The sequence below is a fragment of the Homo sapiens genome, chromosome 17 (genome assembly GCF_000001405.40).
Source record: "Homo sapiens chromosome 17, GRCh38.p14 Primary Assembly".
In the NCBI taxonomy this organism is placed as follows: Eukaryota; Metazoa; Chordata; class Mammalia; order Primates; family Hominidae; genus Homo; species Homo sapiens.
Window position 1 is genome coordinate 62,550,478 of NC_000017.11, and position 26,789 is coordinate 62,577,266.

At 39.2% G+C, this 26,789-nt stretch overlaps 1 protein-coding gene across 43 annotated transcripts in view, besides 4 other annotated features; it reads left to right on the plus strand.

Annotated features, from left to right (window-relative positions):
• Positions 1-26,789, plus strand: part of TLK2 (tousled like kinase 2) — a 144,568-nt gene that overhangs the window by 79,564 nt on the left and 38,215 nt on the right. For 17 of the 43 annotated variants that reach the window (XM_024450552.2, XM_024450553.2, XM_011524221.3 and 14 more), the window contains 7 exons: positions 1,825-1,920; positions 3,186-3,278; positions 9,539-9,649; positions 14,524-14,660; positions 22,738-22,890; positions 23,868-23,933; positions 26,232-26,298. In XM_024450552.2, coding sequence (XP_024306320.1) covers positions 1,825-1,920; positions 3,186-3,278; positions 9,539-9,649; positions 14,524-14,660; positions 22,738-22,890; positions 23,868-23,933; positions 26,232-26,298 — 723 coding nt within the window. The remainder of the gene's footprint in view (positions 1-1,824; positions 1,921-3,185; positions 3,279-9,538; positions 9,650-14,523; positions 14,661-22,737; positions 22,891-23,867; positions 23,934-26,231; positions 26,299-26,789) is intronic. The other 26 variants (XM_047435179.1, XM_047435182.1, NM_001375271.1 and 23 more) reach the window with 5 other exon arrangements.
• Positions 8,978-9,336: a silencer, noted in NCBI's record as "fragment chr17:60636816-60637174 (GRCh37/hg19 assembly coordinates)". NCBI's record gives its function as "represses an EF-1alpha promoter that drives an FKBP-Casp9 reporter gene in an ReSE screen in HepG2 liver carcinoma cells {active_cell/tissue: HepG2}" and the evidence as "EXISTENCE:reporter gene assay evidence [ECO:0000049][PMID:32094911]".
• Positions 14,595-15,794: an enhancer, noted in NCBI's record as "CDK7 strongly-dependent group 2 enhancer chr17:60642433-60643632 (GRCh37/hg19 assembly coordinates)". NCBI's record gives its function as "activates an origin of replication core promoter dependent on BRD2, BRD4, P300/CBP, MED14 and CDK7 cofactors, with strong dependence on CDK7, by STARR-seq in HCT116 cells {active_cell/tissue: HCT116}" and the evidence as "EXISTENCE:reporter gene assay evidence [ECO:0000049][PMID:35650434]".
• Positions 17,582-18,053: a silencer, noted in NCBI's record as "fragment chr17:60645420-60645891 (GRCh37/hg19 assembly coordinates)". NCBI's record gives its function as "represses an EF-1alpha promoter that drives an FKBP-Casp9 reporter gene in an ReSE screen in K562 erythroleukemia cells {active_cell/tissue: K562}" and the evidence as "EXISTENCE:reporter gene assay evidence [ECO:0000049][PMID:32094911]".
• Positions 23,338-23,538: a silencer, noted in NCBI's record as "peak2935 fragment used in MPRA reporter construct". NCBI's record gives its function as "represses an SCP1 promoter by STARR-seq MPRAs in K562 erythroleukemia cells {active_cell/tissue: K562}" and the evidence as "EXISTENCE:reporter gene assay evidence [ECO:0000049][PMID:32103011]".

Sequence of the window (26,789 nt, forward strand, 5' to 3'; positions counted from 1 at the left end):
AGTAAGGACTGGGTCTGTGGTTTCTCTTACCATGTGTACCTAGCACCTAGCACAGTGCTTAGACATAGGGAGTACTTAATAAATAGTCATTGAATGTATACATTAAAATGGCGTTAATAATGCTGCCTATCTGATGAGGCTGTTGTGAGCCTTCAATGAAATCGTGTGTAGGAAGTGCTAGTTTGCTCACAGGCTGGTGGTAACAGTCTACTGTGGTCATTGAGAGCAGTTATTGTGGACACAACCCCCAGTTCTGGTCACCCCACCCACTAGCTCTGTGAACTCACATAGGTACTTAATATCTCTGATTTTTATTTTATTTATTTGTAAAATGGAACTAATAATTACAACCACCTTATAGGACAGAGTCTTGCTCTGTCACCCAGGCTGGAGTGCAGTGGTGTGATCTCATCTCACTGCAACCTCCGCCTCCCAGGCTCAAGCAATTCTCCTGCCTCAGCCTCCTGAGTAGCTGGGATTACAGGTGTGCACCACTGTGCCTAGCTAATTTTTGTATTTTTAGTAAGATAGGGTTTTGCCATGTTGGCCAGGCTGGTCTCGAGCTTCTGTCCTCAAGTGATCCACCTGATTCAGCCTCCCAAAGTGCTAGGATTACAGGTGAGCCACCTGACCCAGTCTCCTTATAGGATTTTGTAAGAATTAACCTGTGACAATGACAGTGAAACATTTAGGTTACAGTAACTTGTTCAATAGTTGGTGGTTATACCATTGTTAATATGTTAATGAGTAAGAACAGTAATCAAAAGAATATGTAGAAAGTATCAGAAGAAATTCACATGTGGAAATGCTGTATTCTCTGATGAGATAGTAGTACTGTATTTTTACCATTCCATGATTCTCAGAATATTGAATATTTTCTACTTATGTCTGTGATGGGTCATACTTTGTTAGCTGCAGTTTTACCTTGTTTTAAAAAGTACTGTTAGGCTAGGTGTGGTGGCTCACGCCTGTAATCCCAGCACTTTGGGAGGCTGAGGCGGGCGGATCATGAGGTCAGGAGATCAAGACCATCCTGGCTAACACAGTGAAACCCTGTCTCCACTAAACATACAAAAAATTAGCCAGGCATGGTGGCGGGTGCCTGTAGTCCCAGCTACTCGGGAGGCTGAGGCAGGAGAATGGCATGAACCCGGGAGGCAGAGCTTGCAGTGAGCCCAGATCGTGCTACTGTACTCCAGCCTGGGTGACAGAGCAAGACTACATCTCAAAAGAAAAAAAAAAAAAAGTATTATTGAGAATATAATATAATTAACCTGAATAGGTTAATTATATTGTGGAACCTAAACCGTATAAATTTAAAATGCCTTAGAATGCCCAGTCAGCAAGTGACAGTATTAGAAATCAACCTGGATTTTAGACCGCTGTGTGTTCATGGATAATGTTTGTGTGTTTAGGAGACTATTCTGAATAGTGGTTCACAGTCCTTTACATGCATCCCCTGTGCATTGGATGCTTCACTAGCCTTTTCTGACTAAAGCATATGAAAATACAAGTGAAAAAGGCAAGTTATTACAGGAATAACTTTTCATTTTCTCTAATTTTCATATTTTAAAAATTCATTTGTAAGCATTTGATACTTTAAACCTGTTTACAGGAACTTGGTATAAACCACCATGTCCAGCCCTTTGTCTCATATTTGAATTGTTTTACTTTCTTCTTGGCCACGTGGCCCTGACTTCTCACTTTCATAAGAAGGGGTTTGTATTGTGGAGATACAAATTATGGAGTTGTTTGCATTAATACAAGTGTTTGTGGAAAAAGATGCCAAACTTTCCTGTGATTGGTAATGCACCTTTATTGTAGGCTCAGCAAAACAGTCCCTCATCTACGGGATCTGGCAACACAGAGCATTCCTGCAGCTCCCAAAAACAGATCTCCATCCAGCACAGACAGACCCAGGTAGGTTGGTGATCGATAATCAATTGAGGGGCATACCTGCTGTGTAGGAATAAGGGCTAACCTGTGTAGTCTGTCATTCTTCTCTGACTTCTCTGTATTTCTCTGACCACCTCATTATTTGTGTGTATTATATTCATAACTTGCATTATGGGTATTTAAAGTCCTTTGGAAGGTGCTTTAACTTTTTGAGGCTTTTCTTTACTCTTCCGGTGTATTGTAGCAGAAATGCTTATGCTAAAGCATGGTGTTAAGGAAACTGCACACCTTTTTTTTTTTTTTTTCCCTACAGTATTCCACAGAAGAAAAGTACCTACGCTTTGAAGGCCTCTAAGTTCAGATTCTGGCCTGGGCCTCAGTTTTTCTTAGTACAAATCATCTGTGAAAATATGGTTGATTCTCATGATCTCAGACAGTGTATACAAAATGTTTATTAGTAGTGTACTTGTAGTAGGCTTTCAATAAATGTTAATTCTCTAATTTATGAAAGTAGTTAATGTATTCCTTTTCCTGCTTACTTATTTATACCTGGCTAAACTTCTCTCAGATGTGAGATACCAACATGGTTTACTCCTTAAATTGTGTTCAGAAACTCTTTAATTTAGGTAGTGTTCTGAACATTTGAGGATTGTATCTGCAAAGGATGGTGGCTATAGCTTCCATTTTGTAGTTTTGAGTATACTGGGTTTTCTTGAAGGCTCTTTTGATACTATATATATTACCTTCAAGACAGGATCGTTGGCAATCTAGGAGAATTTCTTAAATCTCAAGAGGTATACAACTCCCTGGAGCACATTTGAATTTTATCTAAATCACCAGCTCTTGTACAGTTCAGTTAGATAGTTGAGCACTCAGGTAGCTTCTTCTCTTCCCTTCTGATTGCTCTCTGTTTCCACCAGATGGCGCATTTGTTCCTTAGAGAGTTGTGTGTCAAGTCTCCTGTGAGATCCTTTTCTATTCAAAGTTAGTTTCATTTCTGGAGTAACGTGTTTCTACATTGTTCAGTGCACAGTAGTGAGAATTCATACATTTGATTCCAGAATTAACATGTGTTTGAAGTGTAGGTGTAGTGGGACATAAGGAACCCAGCAGAGGACTTGAAGAATGAGATGAGACAAGCAGATTTCATTTCTTAAGCCATGTGATTCTAGGCCATTTGTGTGAGCAAGTGCTTTTTCCCACCCCCCCGAGAAAGGTAATGAGAAGAGTGTGATGACATATAACATGTTGAGACTAATCCTAAATTTGTTTTACCTTTGTCTCTGTAGTCCGACCTCACAATAGAAAAAATATCTGCACTAGAAAACAGTAAGAATTCTGACTTAGAGAAGAAGGAGGGAAGAATAGATGATTTATTAAGAGTAAGTATTAAAATGTAAGAGATTTTATAGCAAGCACCATTTGTTATATATATTTGGATTATGTACATATCATAGAAGTAATTACTATAGCCAAATAACAATGAAATAATAAACATTTGGGTATTTTTCTTTAATTGAGGGAATCTGAGTAGGAACCAGGTTCCTGCATTCTAAACACTACCTTTAAATTGGAAATCTTATACTGTAGTGTTTTAATGATTGAATTTATATTGGAGAAATAGATATGTGGAGTGTTATATTTCATCTAGAACTGTGGGAATAAGTATAAAGTGTTGTTTTCCCATTCCAGAGAAGTTATTTTAATATTGTTGAATTTTATAAGCTATTTCAAAGGACTTATTAGCCCATTTTGCTTTTTGTACCTTTTATAACCTACTCACCCAAACTTTTTTGTGCTTACAAAAGAAACCTTTAAAATGCTTCATCTGGAATTAAATAGATACCACTAGAAAATATCAATATATTTTGAATATGCAATTTGGCATGACTGACTCATAGTTTTTAAAGAGTAAAAAGGGCCGGACATGGTGGTTCACACCTGTAATCCCAGCACTTTGGGAGGCCAAGGCAGGTGGATCACTTGAGGTCAGGAGTTTGGGACCACCCTGGCCAACATGGTAAAAAGAAACCCTGTCTCTACTAAAAAAATATAAAACGTTATCCTGGTGTGGTGGCAAGCGGCTGTAGTCTAGCTACTTGGGAGGCTGAGACAGGAGAATTGATTGAGCCTGGGAGGCGGAGGTTGCAGTGAGCTGAGATTGCGCCACTGCATTCCAGCCTGGGCGACAGAGTGATACTTTGTCTCAAGAAAAAAATAAGAAAGTAAAAAGGACCGGGCATGGTGGCCCATACCTGCCACTTTGGGAGGCTGAGGCAGGAGGATTGCTTGAGATCAGGGGTTTGAGACCAGCATGCATGACACAGCAAGACCCCATTTCTATAAAAGAATACAAAATTTGCCAGGCATGGTGGTGTGTCTGTGGTCCCAGCTACTGGGAGCGTGAGGTGGGAAGATGCTTGAGCCCAGGACCTCTAGGCTACAGTGAGCCAAGTTCACGCTGCTGTGCTCCAGCATGGACAACAGAGCAAGACCCTGCCTCAAAAAAAAAAAAAAATTATACATGCTCTTTACAAAATACAGAAAAATGTGTCACTCATAATTCCATTAATTGGGATTAAACATTTGGTACATTTTTTTTTTCAGTAATTTTGAGCTGTTTGAAGTAGATATGTGTGTGTATATATACACACACACACACACAAATGAATATATACATAAATGTTACTGATTTATGAATAACATTGGCTAGCATTTTTCTCTTTAGTGATTTAGAAGGTATAGGTTTAATCCTTATTTGTGCTAATGTGGTAGTTAATCTGACTCTTCAGGGTCCTGAAACCTCCAGGGCTACTGTGACACTGCAAGGTGGGGATCGGCAGCCTTGCCTTTGTCAGTCTTTCTTACTAGGCTTTGGGTACAATTTTGTTTGAATATATGTTTAATAATACAGATTATAAAAGTCACTGTACTCATGATGATCTGACTTCCAAAATTGTTTTACTTGTATTATATTTCTGTACTTAATGAAAACATAGGGTAAAATAGTGTATTTTGACTCCTTTTTATATAAAACCTGGAATTCAGCACATAGCTAAACTAAGTCTGGCCTTTATTAGTAAAGTCTGGTGTGTTTATATTATTATTAATTTTTTTTTTTTTTTTTGAGACAGAGTCTTGCTCTGTCGCCCAGGCTGAAGTGCAGTGGCGTGATCTCAGCTCACTGCAACCTCCGCCTCCTGGGGTCAAGCAATTCTCCTACCTCAGCCTCCTGAGTAGCTGGGATTACAGGCGCCCGCCACCACGCCCAGCTAATTTTTGTATAGTAGAGACGGGGTTTCACCATGTTGGTCAGGCTGGTCTCGAACCCCTGACCTTGTGATCCACCCACCTCGGCCTCCCAAAGTGCTGGGATTACAGGCGTGAGCCACCGCGCCCGGCTATTATTATTAATTTTATATATTTATTTTGAGACAGGATCTCACTCTGTCACCCAGGCTGGAGTGCAGTGGCGCAGTCTTGCAAGCTGTGCGCTCCCCAGTCCCCGCCTGATGTGATCCTCCCACCTTGGCCTCCCAAGTAGTTGGGACTATAGGCATGTGCCACTACATTTGGCTGTTTATATTATTAATTAATTATTAATTTTTTGAGACAGAGTCTCACTTTGTCACCCAGGTTCAAGTGATTCTCCTGCCTCTGCCTCCCAAGTAGCTGGGATTACAGGCATGCCCCACAATGCCTGGCTAATTTTTGTATTTTTAATAGAGATGGGTTTTTGCCACATTGGCCACACTGGTCTCGAACTCCTGACCTGCAGTGATCAGCCTGCCTTGGTCTGCCAAAGTGCTGGGATTACAGGCGTGAGTCACTGCGCTCGGCCTATATTATTATTGTTAAATTACCATTCTTACTGCTATATATGATACTAAGTTCTTATGTATAGAGTATAGGCAGAGGCAGCTTTATGACCAAATTTGTAGTCATTGTTAGACTTGTTTATTCAACTGATTTCAAAACTTATCAGCAGTATTTTTTTTATTTATAGTTTTTGTTTTATCTGTTGATGGTGGTACATTTTTAAGTGATTATTTTTCAGCAAGGATTTGTCAGTGTTAAATTTTCTCTGCCTTACCGACCTGAGAATTCTCTCTTTTGCCCTCCCGTGGAAAGACAACACTGTGTGCAGGATTTTTGTGTCATAACCCCTTGTTCTATTCGTTCTGCCTCTCAAATATAACACGCATTCTCTCTCTCTGTTTCTCCTTCAGTTTTTCAAGCATTTCGTATTTCAGAGAGGTTCATGACCAAAGCAGCAAACACCATAATTTGTTAAATATTACCCCAGGGTGTCTCTATATGTGGGTTTATATATTTTTATTTGGAAAATGTGTGATTATGTCTAACTATGCTTTTATCCCTCTTTATATTGGTTTCTTCTTGACTCTTAGCTTGAATCTCTGATTTCTCTCCTTTATTTCTCACATGTTATGTCTTATTTTAATATGATTGCCCCTTTCTTCTGAATCTCATTAAACACTGTCTTCCATATATTTCTGGCATTTACTGCAGCTCGTGTGAATTTTGATTTTATTGTTTACATTTTTATTTTTTGAGACAGTGTCTTGCTGTTGCCCAGGCTGGGTGCAGTGGCACCGTCATGGCTCACTGCAGCCTTCATCTCCCAGGCTCAAGCAGTCCTCTCACTTCAGCCTCCTGAATAGCTGGGACTACAGGCATGTGCCACTGTGCTTGGCTAATTTTTTTATTTTTTGTAGGAACAGGGTCTCATTATGTTGTCCAGGCTGGTCTTGAACTCTTGGGCTCAAGCAAACCTCCTACCTTGGCCTCCCAAAGTGCTGGGATAACAGACGTGAGCCACCGTGCCAGGCCTATTATTTACATTTTAAATTTCCCTGCTTTTTTCCCTCATCTAATATACTTTCTTACCCCATCTTGTATATTCTCTAGGGTTTTTGGTTCCTATTTCCTAGATATCACGTCTTTTTGCATTTTATGAAATATGACAAGAAGTATTCTAAAATGTTCTTTTGATTTCTATGGGTGATCATTTTCATTGTTTTCAAGCTGATTTTCTGTATTCCTTGGGCCTATTTTTGTTGTTGTTTTTATTTACTATTGTTATTTTTATTTCCTTTCCTCCATCTTTGAATGAGGAGACCCATATGTAGTCTCAGCACTGTGTTGTATTTTTCATTGTTCGGATATGTATACTTGCATGGAGTTGCTCTTATTCCTGTTTTTATTCATCTGGGTGCTGGTTGAATTGCCATCGAAGATTTATAATGAAATGGTTTGTGGGTGTAAAAAGCTCCTTGCCAAATTCCAGTATCTGTCAGGGTTTTGTACAGAGAAGCTCTGCTGTACTGAGGAAGAATTGTGGGCGTGCCTTTCTCCATCATCTGACTCTTTAAGATTGAGATGACAGAGTATGAGAAAAACTTGAATCCTAACTTGGTACTGCTTTAGGAGTTTCAAAAAAATGTTTGCTTATGTTTTCTAATAAGCAATATGTTTCCTTCACTCACTACTGTCCCTTCTACTCCGTCGTCTTCAGACTGTTGCAGTCTTTATTTGTATGTAGAGCAGTACTAAAGGAGTAGATAAATAAAAAAGGAAGACACAGAGGGCAGCTGCCTTGTTTTTAGGTTGATTAGAACTTGTGCTTCTAGAAGATCTAGAGGATCGACAGTGAGGGAAAGACTACATGTCTTGTATATTCTTTCAGACGTCATTCATTGAATTTTGCCATTTTAATAAGATGTTGGGTATGGCTGCATTGGGAGCTACTAGCCAGCTGCTTTTTTTTTTTCTTTTTTTTAATTAAAAAAAAAGGACACAGTGTCTTGCTCTGTCTCCCAGGCTGGAGTGCTGTGGTGCAATCACAGCTCACTGCAGCCTCGACCTCCCAGGCTCAAGCAATCCTCAGCCTCCCGAACAGCTGGCATCAGAGGCGCATGCCACCACACATGGCTAATTTTCAAAATTTTATAGAGACTAAGGTTTTGCCATGTTGCCGAGGCTGGTCTTGAACTCCTGGGCTTAATTGATGCTCCTGCCTCGGCCTCCCAGAGTGCTGGGATTATAGGCATGAGCCACGCTCACCAGCTGCCAGCTGTTACTTTAAACATGAACTCCTCGAAGACATTAGTGTCAGAAGCCACAAAAACTTAGAATTATTAAAATTTTAAATAACTGCCAAGAGGTTGATGGATTTCATACATTTGATTATAGATTTCAAGGGAACACTCACCTTATGAGTAGACTGGGTTTTCCATATACATTAAATGATCTTTGCTTCGTAGATTCTTTACTATGAATTTGGTAATCACACTTACCCAAATGTAGTTACACTCTGTCTTTGATAATATGGTTCTGTACAAAAACTAACAGGAAGAAATTATGCTGATGGGGAGAGGAGAAACATTTGGAGACAGAAGCTGTTTCTCATGGGTTACTTTAAAAATGATGCTATATTATACAAAAGAAAAAATGATAAAAATTTTTAATGAAGCTACAAGGTCTCAAAAATTGAGTATCGTGTGATATCTTCTGTTTGTGCCTTTTAGTATTTTAGGAACACATAACAGGTTTTTCTTTTTCATAATTTAAGTGAGTTTTTATGAGGTAACATTATTTGCTAGAAGAGCTGAGATCTTTTTTTTAACACAAAAGGAATAAATTCAGGACTTGCAAGTCAAATTCGTCCTTGGGTTAGTGGTTCTTTCCTTCTCTGTTATTGCAGGAGGCTTTAAGTTTTTAGTCCACACTGTAGGCTTCTGACCACAGCTAAATTAGCTGTATATTTACATTCTGGCATTCTTGAACCAGGACGTTGTTTGTTTGTTCTGTCTTTTGTGGGCATGGGCGTGCCTGGCTTCTCTGGTGAGGAACATTTATGCAAATTTATCTTTCTTAAATGCGACTAGAAAAAGAACAAAGCAAACATAAAATTCAGTAATTTTTTTGTATGTGCTTAATCACTCTTTGTATTTTAAACATTCATTGTAGTTTATTTTTTTTTTATTTTTTATTTTTTTTTTTGAGATGAAGTCTTACTCTGTCACCTAGGCTGGAGTGCAGTGGCGTGATCTTGGCTCACTGCAGTCTTCGCCTTTGAGTTCAAGCGATTCTCCCGCCTCAGCCTCCCGAGTAGCTGGAATTACAGGCTCCCGCAACCATGTGTGGCTAATTTTTTTATATTTAGTAGAGATGGGGTTTGACCACGCAGGCCAGGCTGGTCTTGAACTCCTGACCTCAAGTCATCTGCCTGCCTCGGCCTCCCAAAGTGCTAGGATTGCACGCATGAGCCACGATTCCCAGCTTTAACATTTTTTTAATTATTATTTTGTGATAGCTTAGGTGTTTGTGATTACAAGAGTAGCTGTAACTGGTTATTGGCAGGAGCAAAATATGATCAGTAGAAAAACATGCCCAAATTAGTAATTCAATTTATCATTTACAAATAGATGATATGTTATGAGAGAATAAAGGAATGAATTATTTACTTTTTCTAAGACATAGTTACTTCTTACCTGTTTGAACTTTAATTTTGCTTTTGATAAAACAACATATAGAAATGATTTTTTTTTCTCTCCCTAGAAACTGCTTTTCCATTAATCTTCTTCCTTGGAGCTAATTAAAAATTTTTTTCTCATTGAAGGCCAACTGTGATTTGAGACGGCAGATTGATGAACAGCAAAAGATGCTAGAGAAATACAAGGAACGATTAAATAGATGTGTGACAATGAGCAAGAAACTCCTTATAGAAAAGGTTAGTGAATAATGTTGGTCTAAACTCTGTATCCCAAGATACTCAATGTGTGTCATTGTGTGGCTTCTTATTCCTTACTTGAGATGAAAATATTTAAAAGTAGAGCTTTTTAGGAACATGATTTGACAATTAGAATTTTTTCCTTACATGGACACCAGACCAACCATCCAGAGTGTTAATTTGGGATATGCTTTGTTGCTGTGCATTGCTTTGAGTGTGATATTGAACAGAGACAGCTTGTCCTAGTTGAGTTTATTTGGGGTATTGCTCTCCTATATTCTTATATTCATTCTATCAATTGAAGTGAGTATCCTATTACTATTAGAATCATTAACAATAGTTGCATTTTTGTTTCAGAGATGGCATTTAGAATAACTTATGTATATAATAATGTGATAATTAATGCTTTGTGCATTAAAAAATTAAAGTTGTCATATACCTGCATATGATTACTTAATTGGCTGATGTCCTCTTTATTATATTCATTGGTTAATTATCACTTATCTCTGTTAATAGGTATTAGTAACTATTAGAATTTTTTTTTTTTTTTTTTGAGGCTGAGTCTCATCCAGGCTGGAGTGCAGTGGCATGATCTCAGCACACTGTAGCCTTCGCCTCCCAGATTCAAGCAATTCTCCTGCCTCAGCCTCCTGAGTAGCTGGGTTTATAGGCGTGCGCCACCATGCCCGGCCAATTTTTGTATTTTTTTTTTAATTATACTTTAAGTTTTAGGGTATATGTGCACAACATGCAGGTTAGTTACATATGTATACATGTGCCATATTGATGTGCTGCATCCATCAACTCGTCATTTAACGTTAGGTGTATCTCCTAATGCTGTGCCTCCCCACTCCCCACAACCCACAACAGGCCCCGGTGTGTGATGTTCCCCTTCCTGTGTCCATGTGTTCTCATTGTTCAATTCCCACCTATGAGTGAGAACATGCAGTGTTTGGTTTTTTTGTCCTTGCGATAGTTTGCTGAGAATGATGGTTTCCAGCTTCATCCATGTCCCTACAAAGGACATGAACTCATCATTTTTTATGGCTGCATAGTATTCCATGGTATATATGTGCCACATTTTCTTAATCCAGTCTATCATTGTTGGACATTTGGATTGGTTCCAAGTCTTTGCTATTGTGAATAGTGCCACAATAAACATACATGTGCATGTGTCTTTATAGCAGCATGATTTATAATCCTTTGGGTATATACCCAGTAATGGGATTGCTAGGTCAAATGGTATTTCTAGTTCAAGATCCCTGAGGAATTGCGGGGTTTCGCCATGTTGGCCAGGCTGGGCTTGAACTTCTGACCTCAAGTGATCCACCCGTCTCGGCCTCCCAAAGTGCTGGGATTACAGGCGCTCACCACTGCGCCCAGCCTATTTCTTAGAAGTTTTAAGAAGACAGTACTTCCTAATGACAATATTACAAGAACAAACTAGAGGTTTGAGATATACTGGAGATTTATTTTCCTGAAATGTTTGGAATGTTGTTAAAAAGACAGGAAACACTGTCTTTCAGTAAAAGTGAAATGAATTATTTTATTGAGGCCGAAGATACTGGGGGAAATTTTGTTTCATTCTTTGACTCATTAATCAACTTTATAGAAAAGAAACCACTTTTTAAAATTTTTTCTGAGAGTGAGAAAAAATAAAATATATGCTAATCCAGATAATTTCTTTGAAGTTTTAGAATACTTCCTGAAATCAGCAGAGATTCAGCCAGTTGTTCTAAACTCTAAATAGCATACTACAAAAAGTAAACATAATGCTGTCTCTGAGTTCTCACAGGAAAACAACTTTCTCTTTGCTAGGAGTAGTATATAACAAAATTTAAATTTGTTTCCAAAAGAACTGAAATTGTAGTATCTACTTACTGACTTTCTAAATAGGGAGTATTTATTGAGTATCTGCTACACCGTGATGCAATATAAAGCAGCATAAATGGACTGGGTGTGGTGGCTCACGCCTGTAATCCCAGCACTTTGGGAGGCCAATGAGGGTGGATCACTTGAGGTCAAGAGTTCGAGATCAGCCTGGCCAACATGGTGAAACCCCATCTCTACTAAAAATACAAAAATTGGCTGAGTGTGGGGGTGTGCGCCTGTAATCTTAGCTACTCTGGAGGCTGAGGCACGAGAATCACTTGAACCTGGGAGGCGGAGATTGCAGTGAGCCTGAGATCATGCCATTTCACTCCAGCCTAGGTAGTAGAATGAGACTGTCTCAAAACAAAAAACACACAAATGAAAATGCAATCATAGAGTGCAATGTTATCTTTCATAGAATTTGAATACTTTAAAAATTTTAAAACTCTTATAACTTAATCATAAAAAGACAACTCATTAATAATGAGCAAGAGACTTGAACAGATAGTTTACAAAAAAAGAGTGTATAAAAATACGCAAATGGCAAGCATGAAAAGATGTTTAATGTCATTATCCATCAGGAAAACTCAAGGTAAAACCAGCGTGAGATAGTACTACAAACCCAGTAGAATGACTAGAAATAAAAAAAACCTGACAGATCCAAGGGTTGGTGAAGATGAGGGGCAGCCTGATTTGTTACACCAATAGAAATGTAAAATATTACAGCTACTTCAGAAGGTTTTTGGACAGTTTTTCTATTTGAGATAAATATGTACTAAATCCTGTGATCCAGCAGTTCCTCTCCTGGCATTTACCCAAGACAAACAAAAGCAAATGTTGGCCGGGCATGGTGACTCACACCTATAATCCCAGCACTTTGGGAGGCTCAGGGAGGAGGATCACTTGAACCCAGGAGTTTGAGACTAGCCTGGGCAGCACAGCAAGACCATCTTTATTTTTAAAAACAGAAGAAAGTAAATGTCCATAAAAGTACTTGTATGAGAATATTCATGGGAATTTTATTCATAGCCAAAAAGTGGAAACATCCTAGGTGTCTGTTAACAAGTGAATGTAGATACAAATTATTATATTGTCATACAGTGGAATACTACTCAGTAATAAAAAAAGAATGAATTTCTCATAATAGAACAGCTTGCATGAATCTAAGAAACAAAAGACACAGTTCCTGCCATCAGAGGGTTAACAGTCTACATGAGGGTGGGCGAATAAGACACATTCACATATATAAGGAAACCTATTCAGATGAGCAGTGCACATATTAAGAATTCACTAAAATTAGCTGGGTGTGGTGGCACACACCTGTAGTCCTAGCTACTCAGGAGGCTGAGGTGGGAGGATCATTGGAGCCAGGAGTTGGAGGCTGTAGTAAGCTGTGATTGCACTGCTGCACTCCAGCCTGGGCAACAGAGTGAGACCCTGTCTCTTAAAATAAAAAAAAAGAAAATAAATTCACTAAAATAAATCAAGGGCAGGGGACTAATTGGAGAAAGCTATAAAGAAGAGGAAAAATGTGTTCTGGGCATGGAAAACTGCAGCTATAAATTGCCTGTTGGTTGAAATAGACAGGACATCTCAAGGACTTTTATCCCATGGTATCATCTCTCACAGTACTTTATTCTTTTCCTTTGAATTCTTTACCGCGTCTGTACTTAGAATTACCAATTAATATATTTAGTGGTTATAACTCCCCCTCTCTCTAGGCTGTGAACACCAGTTTTTTTCTATGTCCTATACTTAACATTCTTACAGTTCATGACGTATAATTGGTTTTAAATAAACCTGTGTTCAATGAATGATGTTCTCAAGAATCAGGAGTATATAAGGTGTTTTGGAGTAAGAATTCTGCAGGGAGGCAGATCTTCTAGCGCATTGAGGGGTTTTTCTTGTCTGGATCCAAAGTTTGGTAGCAGAGACCCATGGAAGATTTGGAACATCAAACTGGAAGTGTGCAAAGTGGTGTTCTGAGAAGATGAATTGGTAACAGTTCTCTAGAAAATATTAGATAGAGAAGAAACAGAAAATAGGGAAACAGCTTAAGAGCTAGGCATTGATGTGGCCCAAATGTGAGATGCTGAACTCTAAGATTAAAAACATGTAGGCAGGCTGGGTGCAGTAGCTTAGGCCTGTAATCTCAGCACTTTGGGAGGTGGAGGTGGGCTGATCACTTGAGGCCAGGAATTCAAGACCAGCGTGGCCAACATGGCGAAACCAGTCTCTACTAAAAAATACAAAAATTGGCCGGGTGTGGTGGCTCACGCCTGTAATCTCAGCACTTTGGGAGGCCAAGGCGGGCAAATCATGAGGTCAGGAGTTCAAGACCAGCCTGGTCAACACAGTGAAACCCCGTCTCTACTAAAAATACAAAAATTAGCTGGGCATGGTGGCATGTGCCTGTAGTCCCAGCTACTTGGGAGGCTGAGGCAGGAGAATCGCTTGAACCCGGGAGGTGGAGGTTGCAGTGAGCCGAGATCCCACCACTGCACTCCAGCTTGGGCAACAGAGTGAGACTTCGTCTCAAAAAAAAAAAAAAAAAAAAAAATTATCCGGACGTGGTGGCATGCACCTGTAGTCCCAGCTACTCAGGAGACTGAGGCAGGAGAATCGCTTGAACCCGGGAAGAAGAGGCTGCAGTGAGCCGAGATCATGACTCTGCACTCCAGTCTGGGTGATAGAGCAAGACTCTGTCTTAAAAAAAAAAACAAACAAAAAACCAACCAAACAAACAAAAAACCCCACACACACATAGGCAGATTGGGAAAGCTTTACCTGTGAAGAACTTGTGGTTGTTTCATTATTCTATCTTGTCTACTTTGTTTGAATAGGAATAGTTAGTCATCCGAGGAGTCATTACTGACTGTTCTGAGAAGTGTATGGTTTTCAATAATATGTTTCCTGATAATGTTAAATGTTTTAGTTTCTAAGAAGTGTCTTTATCCATGCTAATTGGTATTGAATTCCTTTTTTTGTCTGTTTCCCCTAAGTCAAAACAAGAGAAGATGGCGTGTAGAGATAAGAGCATGCAAGACCGCTTGAGACTGGGCCACTTTACTACTGTCCGACACGGAGCCTCATTTACTGAACAGTGGACAGATGGTTATGCTTTTCAGAATCTTATCAAGTAAGTGAATTGTTATGATTAAATGGAGAATTGAAAAGTTCGTTTGCATTTTTTAGGTTTTCTGTAATTGTAGTCATTAATAATCCTACTATTGGTAGTCATCTTTTCAGTTAGTTTTTTAGTCACCACATGTGGAAAGAAATGTATCGAATGAGGTGAAGTCCTGAAAAAAAACGACACAAGTAAAATCAGGAGTACAAAATGAGTTCCAGAAAATAAATAAAGTATGAGTTCAGGCCAGGCGCGGTGGCTCACGCCTGTAATCCCAGCACTTTGGGAGGCCGAGGCGGGTGGATCATGAGGTCAGGAGTTCAAGACCAGCCTGGCCAACATGGTGAGACCCTGTCTCTACTAGAAATACAAAAATTAGCCAGGCGTGGTGGCAGGCGCCTGTAATCCCAGCTACTTGGGAGGCTGAGGCAGAGAACTGATTGAACCTGGGAGGTGGAGGTTGCAGTGAGCCGAGATCGTACCACTGCACTCCAGCCTGGGCGACAGAGCAAGACTCCATCTCAAAAAAAAAAAAAAAAAAGAATGAGTTCTGCATTAAAACTTAAAAGAATCAGAATTGCTGAAGCTAAGGAAGAAAAACCTAGGGTTTGACTTTCTATCTTTCTAATTATATAATGAATTTTCATTAAGAGTCTATTGAGCATTTCTTCTGGATCCACAGAAAAATGAAATGTGAAAGGACCTGAGAAAGAATTTCCTGAGATAAGTTTAGGTATAAAGCAGAATAAAACCACTGAAGAACTTTATAGGACATGTTCCTGGGATTATTTAAGGAGACAGTGTCCAGTCATCAGAGAGTCACTTCCTGGAAGGCAGTGGTGACCAGCCCCACTGTGTGTGCCTGTGTGCAGCTTGGAATCTTGAACATTCATTGTCTTTGTCATAACTTTTGATTTGAAACATTCAGGTATTTATTCCAATGAGGGAATTAACATTTAAAATCCTCAAATTCCAACTGTGTGACTAGCTACCGTTAGCTTAGATCTTTAAATGTATATAGATATCTTCAGATTGCAGTACCTTTTGGTGAATCTTCTTTTTTTTTTTAATCTCTAGGTCATGATGAGTTGGAAGGGTCTATAGACTGCCTTTCTTTCCTGTGTTTTTTTGCTGAAATAGCTTGTTGAGTATGAATTGGAAAGCATGTGACTACTTTTGAGTAATAATGAAACAAATAAGAAACTTATGCCTGAAAGAAAATACAAATATTGATGCTATTTATAATATTTGTTAAAACTAACCTCTGAGTTAGACGTTAGTAGTCCTTGTTTTATGTGTGAAACATTAACCTCCAACTTAGATTAAGCGTGTTTTTGCTTCATGATTATTCCTCATGTGTGTATATTTTGGTGTGTGAAGAGGCTTTCAAGTCAAAGAATACCTTGGAAGGAAAGCACAGACTTTTCTTAGGCCGGCACCAGACATTCAGAGCAGCATTCACTCTGTGCTCTTAAGCATAGGTGGCTGGTGATAGCAGAGGTATCAGGGCAGTGTAAACAGCAGTTACATGGAGGTATGATACCTGTTTATAACATCCTGGCCAAGACATGCAAGTTGTCCTGGAAGTGACATACCATCCAGTTTCCAGATTTGTTAAAATGGAATCAGAAGAAGATAAAACTTAAGATCCACATAGTGGCCAAAGCCACCTAATGCTTACACTGACTTCTAGTAGTGGTAGTCACTCTGAGCAGCCCTGTCAATGGCTACTATTTAGATAGCAGTCTTTTTAGACTTTGATTCAGGAAAGATGGTGAGTTTGTATAGAGATGTAATTAGTTTTAAGAAGTGCTTTTGGCCGGGCACAGTGGCTCTTGCCTGTAATCCCAGCACTTTGGGAGGCCGAAGCGGGTGGATCAGTTGAGCCCAGGAGTTTGAGACCAGCCTGGGCAACATGATGAAACCCTGTCTCTACAAAATATACAAAAATTAGCTGGGTGTGGTGGCACACACCTGTGGTCCCAGCTACTTGGGAGGCTGAGGTGGGAGGATGACTTGAGCCCAGGAGGCAGAGGTGAGTCATGCAGTGAGCCGAGAATTGTACCACTGTCCTCCAGCCTGGGCGACAGAGCCAGACCCTGTCTCATAACAAAACAAAACAAAAAGAAGTGGTTAAACTTACTGCTTATAGTAGCAATATTTTATCTCTTACTCTAAAAGCAGCTTGATGCCCACGAGGGTCTGGAAATCTGTATGGTAGAGTACAAAATGATGACTTTGCTATAGAGCCACCAGATCAGAGGAAGTGAGACTATGTAAATGAAATCCCTAAGTAGGACTCTTCACTGTAGGTGGATAGCACTGTTTTACCATTTTAAGTCATATAAATGGCCAGAAATCTGTGTCTTCTCTTGGGAAGATGTTTCTGGCTGATGTCTATTAATTATAGGTATTTTAGTTCCTGAAATTTTGCTTTAATAAATTAATTTCCTTCAGTATAGAAATTGAAATTCTCTAGTTGTAAAAGGCTATATCTAATAGCCTCAGAGGTCACAATTCTGCACATGAGAAACTCCAAGACATGTGAAGTAATTTGGTGGGTGAAGTAGCTGAACACTAACAACACTACTAGGTTTTATGGGAAGAGACAAACCTAAAGGCATTTAAAAAATGAATCAGATAATCAAATATAGCCTCAATAGGACCCTTAGCACCATTTTTTTTTGTTGTTGTTGTTATTTTTGTTCACTGGTTCTTTTTTTGAGTGATCTTTAATTTCCTAAAACAGAAGATTCATTGTCTAATAGGAAAATTATATCAGATTTGTAATATTTTTTGGCCAGTTTAGTAATTTTTGCTTTCCACAGTATGTTTGAATCTTTTGAAAAAGTAGCTTATTTTATAGTTCTGAGAAAGTAATGTTAAATACTAAATGTTAATGTTATTCAGTATATCACTTTTTGTTTAAAGAAGTCTCAAACAGTCCATGGCAAGGCAATAAAAATTCTTTACTAAGATTTTGTTTATGTTGAAGTAAACAAAATTAAAGTAATGGGATTTGGCCAGATGTGGTGGCTCCCACCTGTAATCCCAGCACTTTGGGAGGCTGAGATGGGCAGATCACTTGAGGCCAGGAGTTTGAGACCAGCCTGGCCAAAATGATGAAACCCTGTCTTTACTAAAAATACAAAAATTAGTTGGGCATGGTGACACACGCCTGTAATCCCAGCTACTCGGCAGGCTGAGGCAGGAGAATTGCTTGAACATGGGAGGCAGAGGTTGCAGTGAGCCAAGATTGTGCCACTGCACTCCAGGCTGGGTGACAGAGCGAGACCCTGTCTCAAAAAAAAAAAAAAAAAAAAGTAATGGGATTTGACCTGTGTACAAAATTGTGATCATTTAAGATGCATATAACTAGAGGAAGAAATTAAAGTTTACAGCATTGTAATGCTAGTCCAGGTATTTATTCTGAAGTGTAACAAGTTCCAGTATCCATTTCATTTATTTTATTTTGAGACGGAGCCTCACTCTATTGCCCAGGCTGCAGTGCAGTGGTGCAATCTCGGCTCACTGCAACCTCTGCCTCCCGAGTTCAAGTGATTCTCCTGCCTCAGCCTCCTCAGTAGCTGGGATTACAGGTGCCCACCACTATGCCTGATGAATTTTTGTATTTTTAGTAGAGACGGGGTTTTGCCATGTTGGCCAGGCTGGTCTTGAACTCCTGACCTCAAGTGATCCACCCACCTTGTCCTCCCAACCAGTATCCGTTTTAAAGCAATTTACGTCAAACCATCTGATTCTCAGTCATATGATTCACTCATTTTGTTGATTTTATAAACATTAGATCTTCTTTAGGTATCGTATACCATTTCACAGCTCCCAGTTTATACAGAATATATTCAATCCTGGGAATCTTTAAAAATCTCATCTGGGCTGGTTGTGGTGTGGCTCATGCCTGTAATCCCAGCAGTTTGGGAGGTCGAGGTGGGTGCATATCCTGAGGTCAGGAGTTCGAGACCAGCCTGGCCAACATGGTGAAACCCCTTCTCTACTAAAAATACAAAAATTAGCCGGGCATGGTGGCGTGCACCTATAGTCCCAGCTACCCAGGAGGCTGAGACAGAATTGCTTGAACCTGGGAGATGGAAGTTGCAGTGAGCTGAGATCACGCCACTGCACTCCAGCCTGGGTGACAGAGTGAGACTTCGTCTCCAAAAAAAAAAAACAACCCATCTGGGATATTGACATGTTGTTTGAAGTTTTGAAGTTTCAGACCTCTCAGAGATGAAATAGATAACAGATTATTTAAAATAATTTTGTTTAAATAATGACTGGAAATACGTGCTTTTTTTTTTTTTTTTTTTGAGATGGAGTGTTGCTCTGTTGCCCAGGCTGGAGTGCAGTGGCGTGATCTCGGCTCACTGCAACCCCTGCCCCCTGGGTTCAAGCAATTCTCCTGCCTCAACCTCCTGAGTAGCTGGGACTACAGGCACACACCACCACTCCTGGCTAATTTTTGTATTTTTAGTAGAGACGAGGTTTCACCATATTGGCCAGGCTGGTCTCAAACTAAGTGATCCGCCCACCTTGGCCTCCCGAAGTGCTGGGATTACAGGTGTGAGCCACCGCGCCCGGCCACATTTTTTAAAATACCTTTACTACTAGTTACTTCTTGTATGGTTGAAGTGTAAAATGTAGTTTTGCTGCTGAAGGTACCCGCATTTCAGTTCCTGGGATGCTGTAACAAATACCATAAACTGGGTAGTTTAAAGTAACAGAAATGTATTCTCTCACACTTCAGGAGTCTGAAAGTCTGAAATCAAGGTGGGGCAGGACCATACTTCCTCAAACCTTTAGGGAACATCTTTCTTTGCCTCTTCAGCAGTGTGGCAGCCCCAGGTGTTGGGCTTGCGGCAGCATAACTCCATTCTCTGTCTCCTCTTCACATGGTGCTCTCCCTGTGCGTCTCTGTGTCTTCTCTTCTCATAAGGATACCGGTCATATTGGATTAAGGTCCTATCATGTCCAGTATGACCTCATCTTCACTAGTAATATCTTTATTCACCCTATTTCCAAATAAGGTCATATCCTGAGGTACTAACGACTTTAACACATCTTTTGGGGGACACAACCCATAATGGTGCAGAAGATTGATTGTCTTGTTTCTCTTTTGCAGGCAGTGGCTTGGTAAATAGAGTTATTTAGATTTGAATGAGATGGATTTATTGGGTCCTCAATACTTCTGTAAAATATAGAAGAAATAGCCTCTTGCTATGGGTGATGAAGGGCGAGCGCTCTCTAAAATTGATGCTATACAAGAAATATTTAAGGATCAACTCTGTGAAAGGCACTGTTAATGCATGCTGGGGGATATACGGATTGCTAAGACACGATTCCTGTTCTGTGAGAAGTTACAGTTTGACATAATCCAGCCTTTGTACTCCCAAAATAAATCTAAATGAAGTACCACTGATAGACTCTCTTTATTCTTTTCTTCTTCAATAGCTAAACAGTTTCAGGAACATCAAGAATTGATATGGGAATCCTTAAAATACGTAACATTGATCTTTGGTGCATCAGCTTTCATGTTCAAACTTTCGTTCTCAGAATGTGCAGTTTAGGATTTCCCTAAAGGTGTTTTGGAATCTGTGTCCCTTGTGTTATGGTTTATATATATTATGGCTGTGGGGAGCATTTCTTGGTGAATCTGAAGAGATTAAACATATGAATTGTCCTTGAAAATAATAGATTATTTTCATGTTTGATGAAGGTGATTGCTAAAATCTCAATTTTGCAAAACACTGTTAATCTTCAAAGACAAAATGTTGTGGCACTCCACTAAGCTACTCTAGTTTATAGTTTAAACTGTATATTGTATGTTTATCTGTAGGGAGTTCAGAGTGTCTTACATTCATGGCCCCTGAAAAGGGTAGAAATGAGCTAAAGATGTTTACTAGTTTTTTAATTGGGAAATTCATGTTCAGTTAAGGTAAATGTTTTCTCCAGAATAAAGATTGTGATTTTTTACTTAAGGATTCTGTGTCTCAACCCAGATTTCTTTCAAGCCATGAATTATATATATAGTTGTCCCTTGTGGGGAATTGGTTCCAGGACCTTCCTCAGATACCAAAATCCATGGATGCTCAAGTCCCTGATATAAAATCTGTAGTATTTGCACATAGCCTATGCATATCCTCCCATATACTTTAAATCACCTCTGGATTACCTATAATACCTAATAAATGTAAATGCTATGTAAATAATTGTCATACTATATTGTTTATGGAATAATAAGGAAAAAAGTTTGTACATATTCAGTATAGATGCAGCCATCTTTTTTTTTTCGTGTATTTTCAATCTGCAGTTGGTTGAATCCATGGATATGGAGAGCCATCCTTATATGTGTTCTGTGAGTAGGGATGAGGAGGTCTAGCTAATAATCAAAAAGAATTTTCAGGCAAACAGAAAACTCTTGAATTATCATTTTCATTTTGCTGTTCGATTGATGTCTAATCAGTGACCTGGCTCATCTTGAAGCCAAGGGCATAGTATTATCAAGTGACTGGCTGTTTCTTTGTAATACTCTGATTAGGTTAATTTTGCATACAGCATTGCCCTTCTAGATATGTTCGAATAAACTGTATTGTGGGTATCTACCTTAGAGTAATCTTGGTTTTCTGCTTGTCGTTCTTCCACGAAAGATACTGTACTGAATCTGGAAAAGATCTGACAGCAATGTTCAGGGAAGAGGGTAGAGCAACTTCCATTTGAGTGTAGGTTTTAAAAAATTAGATTTTGCCGGGCACGGTGGCTCATGCCTGTAATCCCAGCACTTTGGGAGGCTGAGGCGGGTGGATCACTTGAAGTCAAGAGTTTGAGACCAGCCTAGCCAACATGATGAAACCCTGTCTCTACTAAAACAATACAAAAATTAACTGGGCATGGTGGCGCACACCTGTAATCCCAGCTATTAGGGAGGCTGAGGCACGAGAATCACTTGAACTTGGGAGACAGAGCTTGCAGTGAGCTGAGAGCTGAGATCGTGCCACTGCATCCCAGCCTGGGCAACAGAGTGAGGCTCTGTCTCAAAAAAAAAAAAAAAAAAGATTTATTATTCCACAAAAATGAAGGTTGGTTCCACAAAAGAGAATGTGTGGAAAAGCACAGTAGAGGAAGAAGGAGAAGGGAGCTATCATTTGATTGTCAATTATAGTGGGTGACTTAAAGACTAACCTGTTAGATGGTTAATCTCCAATTTTGTATGTTTTTATATACCAAGTCTGTAAACCTTAATATCTGTTAGGTGGTAGGATACATGAGAGAAAGTGTTTTTTTTTTTTACAATGGAGTTTTTATTGGTCCCTAATTTGTAAACTAGTTAATCACAGAAAAATGTGACATCTTATTAGGAAATACTCTAATGGTAATGGTGTTAGATTAACTGCAGTTGTAAAATATGTTTTATACTAATTCATTTTGTATACTATTCCCTAAGGAGTTCTTACTAGTTGGAAGACTTCGTTGTGCTTTCTCCAAATGTATTTTTCTTTTAAAAACTTAATCTAGGTGTCACTGTATCAGTGGGCGGGGTTGACGTGTAGAGTAGTAATGGCTCCCTTAGACTAGAATAAAGGATAGGTCTAAAAAGAAAATCTTGTTTACTTTCTTTAGCATCCTACAAACTTGGTATCTTTTTACGTAAAACTGAGAAGCTTTCATCCAAAGAAAAATAAAATAGAACTTGGAACTTTTTACAACTTTTAAAATACGATTTACTTTTAATGGGTTCAGATCAGAGAATTGTTTCCTTAGCTGTTAAAAAGGAATCAGAAAATTGTTCCTTCTGAGTCAGAAAATAAGGTCACAATAGAAATTTGATATGTTCCTTCCTGTCCACTCTGAAAATAGTAATAACTAGTGTCTTAAAGCACAGACTCATTCCCAGAAAACATCTATCACCAATTATTTGGCCCTTCCAATCTGAAGTTAAAATCAAATCTCTACTTGACTTAAAGGGGCTTATTTTTTCTGAAATTGGATACACAAGTGACAAATTGTGTGTGTTCCATAGCTGTGGTAAAACTTTTGACTTTCTTTCTTTGTACAACGTCTTTTATATCTCTAGGCAACAGGAAAGGATAAATTCACAGAGGGAAGAGATAGAAAGACAACGGAAAATGTTAGCAAAGCGGAAACCTCCTGCCATGGGTCAGGCCCCTCCTGCAACCAATGAGCAGAAACAGCGGAAAAGCAAGACCAATGGAGCTGAAAATGAAACGTATGTTCTTTATTGACGTGAACGCTGAGACACCACACCCTGCCCCCAAATACAAATGTTGATTGTCACCGGCAATAGTTTTAAATTCTTGAGGTCACTCAGGTTTAAACCTTCTTTTCAGTTACATTAATGGATTTGCTCAACTCATATAAATGCCATATAAAATTAATTGATTTTCTTAAACCTGCTCTTTCTTTAGGGCATTTTGAATGAGAGGGAAAAGTAATGTCACTTGACATCATGACTTTTGGCCACTCCTGGTTAACAAATAAGATGTCATTGTACTGAAATGATATTATTGCTTACATGTGGCTGCAGGGTGTGGTACACTAGTATCATCTTATGGGAGTTACCTGGCTGTTATTTCAGACTGAAGAATGCTCTTTACTGGTCAAAAGAGCACTTAGTTAATAGTCACAAACTTAGGATAAGCCCCCCAGAAAGCTGTTATGTTAGAAAAGGACATTGTCCCAATAAGCCACAACTTGATCTCATCAGAATTGTTTCCTGTTCTGGGAATCTAAGGAAAACACCAGTATCTTAAACTGCAGTACAGTCATCTTTTTCTCTGTCACTCAACAATATTTACATAGCTACCATATATAGGAGGAGTAGAAAATTCTAAGCACAAATGCCTGCCTTCTCCATTCTTCTCTTCCTTTCTGTTTAACTGAAAGTAAGTTTCAAGTCCAAAGATAGCTGCAGATAAAAGATATATAACTTATCAACTAATATGTCATTTGCTTTATGTTTTCATATTAGTTCACAAAAACAACACATAATCCACTTCAGGTATAATAATACTTGTATTATATTATTGTTAAAAGTCTGTGGCATCCTAGAAGTGCATCTTCTTTCATTCTAGTGAGAAAGATGGCTTAACACCAATCCTCACCCCATACATATCTGATGTTTTGGGAAGTCTCTTCCTTGATGTTCGTTTAGTAAGTTTATGTTAAATGCTTATTTTATGCTAGGCCCTCTTCTGGGAATACAGAGCTAAAGGATACAGCCCCAGCCTTAGGAGCCCACAGTTTACTTAGGTGAGATGAACAGACGAATAAACTAATAATTACATTAAGTATAGCGATAAAAATGTGCATAATGAACTTGGAAAACATCTTCATTCATATAACTCCAAATTTTGTTGTTGTTGTTTTTTTTTTTTGAGACGAAGTCTCACTCCGTCGCCCAGGCCAGAGTGCAGTGGTGCTATCTCGGCTCACTGAAACCTGTCTTCTGGGTTCAAGCGTTTCTCCTGCCTCAGCCTCCTGAGTAGCTGGGACTACAGGCGTGCACCACCATGCCCAGCTAGTTTTTGTATTTTTAGTAGAGATGGAGTTTCTCCATGTTGGCCAGGCTGGTCTTGAACTCCTGACCTCAAATGATCCACCCTCCTCGGCCTCCCAAAGTGCTGGGATTACAGGTGCGAGCTACTGCACCCAGCCCAAATGTTACAAAACTAGAGTCTTGTTTTCCCTTGATTTTAAAGACTAGTCAAGTGCAATAATGAGAATGAGAAGAGGGGAAGAGTATTGAGTCTTAAATATAAAGTATTTTCCTTTCAGCAAGTCCAAGTAGGGGCTCAAATTTGAAAGATTGTCCAGGCTAATTAATCTGACCAATGTTTTCTTTCATGACTCCTGTGTGTATTTTGTGAAGGGACTTTCCCTCTAGTATTATTTGAAAATTATTTAATGCTAATGCACAAAACCATTGGCTTAGGAGTGATAAAGAAAGCATAGGTTGTTTCTTTGCCACAGAAGAATAATTAGAATGCAATCTAGGCTAGTAATGTGTAAGCAATTGCTATCTGGTGTCCTGTGTAAAATCCAATCTGGAAGACTTTCAGTCCAGTTTTTAATTAGAGTATCTGTGACTTGGCTCTTACTTTGACCAGAAGCCAGAAGTAGGCCTCTGGGGTCTTGGAGTGAGCCATATTATCCTTTCTTGGCCCCGAACCTGTTTCAGACAGAGAATTCTTAGCCATCATTTTTAATTTTTCTGTTTTTCGCTGGTGTGGAATGGAGTAATAGATACAGGTATTTCTGCATCTGTAAAGAGATAGCCCTAGTGGGTGAGTTTCTTCTTCTTTCTATTTTTTCTTGAGTTAGACCTCAAAGGCTCTGTTCTGGTTGATAGGATAGATATTTCCCCTTTCTTCTGCTATTTAGAATATATCTAAACAGTGATATCTAAAAATATTAAATATCTATATGCTTCTAGAATGCGAAGAAGGTAGAGATGGAAGAAAAAATAATTCTCACTTGTTCATCTTTTTTTCTTTTATTTTCTTTCTTTCTGTCTTTCTCTCTCTCTCTCTTTCTTTTCTTTTCTTTTCTTTCTTGAGACAGAGCCTTGCTCTGTTGCTTGGGCTGGAGTGCAGTGACATGATTATAGCTCACTATAGCCTCAACCTTCTGGGCTCAAGCAATCCTTCCATCTCAGCCTCCTGAGTAGCTGGGACTACAGGCATGTGCCACCATGCCCAGCTTCTTTCTTCTTTTTTTCACAGAGACAGAGTGTTGCTTTGTTGCCCAGGCTGGTCTCAAACTCCTGGCTCCAAGTCCTTCCCGCTCAGCTTCCCAGAGTACTGGGATTACAGTGAGCCACCAAGCCTGGCCACTTGTTCATTCTTGAGATGTAAGGATGCTGTTGGAGTAGTTGGAACATGAAACACATGACTACCCATCAAGTCAGCCCTTTGAGAGTTGATTTAAATAGCATTTTCAATATTCTTTATATGTTGTCATTTAATAGTCACTCTTTCTTAGATAGGTATTATCACTTGCTGCATTTCAGGAAACTGAGTTAAAGAGGTTAAATTTGCTTGCGCAAGGTCACATGGCCAGTAGCTTAGTAGTGCTTTGAACCCTAGTCCTCAGACTCCAAATCCTAGACTCTAATTTGCTGCTATATCTTTCTCTTTGTTATTACAGTATCAAGGTTTAAGTATTAACAAGAATAATCAAATCCATTGGCTTATTGTTTTGCCCTCTAAAAAATTTTTAGAGAATTTTTGGCTGTCTCTGAATGAGTTTTTATCTTAGTAATATATGGCACAAAACTCATTTCAAAAATAATATAAAAATATGGCTCACTTTTTTTTCTTTTTTATGTTTTGCAAATTAGACTTCTGGCTTTGAAGTTCTTCCCTCACATCACATCTGGTAAATCACAGAAGTTTTCTCTTGTCAGAGGACTACAAGATAACCCATCTTTCAGTCATTTTAACTGAGACTGAAACTGAATATGTCTTATAGTATATTTGAGCATTTCTCTTTAAACAGGCAAACTATGATTTCTAGTAGTTTACTGAAACTTTTACCACTGTTTTTCAGGTTAACGTTAGCAGAATACCATGAACAAGAAGAAATCTTCAAACTCAGATTAGGTCATCTTAAAAAGGTAAGTATAATGAGAAAATCTCCCTGGAGAAATGTGATACCTAGTTTAAATTTGGGGTTGAAGCTATTTGGTCATTTGGGTGAATGTAATAGTAGCTGCACATAGCAGCAGAAAGCTTCAGTGACTGCTTTCACTGTCATGTCTTGTAGCCTAATGGTAGAACTCATATTTTTCCATTTTCTTTCTTCTTCTTTTTTTTTTTTTTGAGTTGGAGTCTCACTGTGTCTCCCAGGCTGGAGTGCAGTGGCACGATCTTGGCTCACTGCAACCTCCACCTCCCGGGCTCAAGCGATTCTCGTGTCTCAGCCTCCTGACTAGCTGGGATTACAGGCACGTGCCACCATACCCAGCTAATTTTTGTATTTTTAGTAGAGACGGGGGTCTCACCATTAGGCTGGTCTCGAACTCCTGACCTCAAGTAATCCTCCTGCCTCGGCCTCCCAAAGTGCTGGGATTACGGGTTACAGGTGTGAGCCACCATGCCTGGCCTA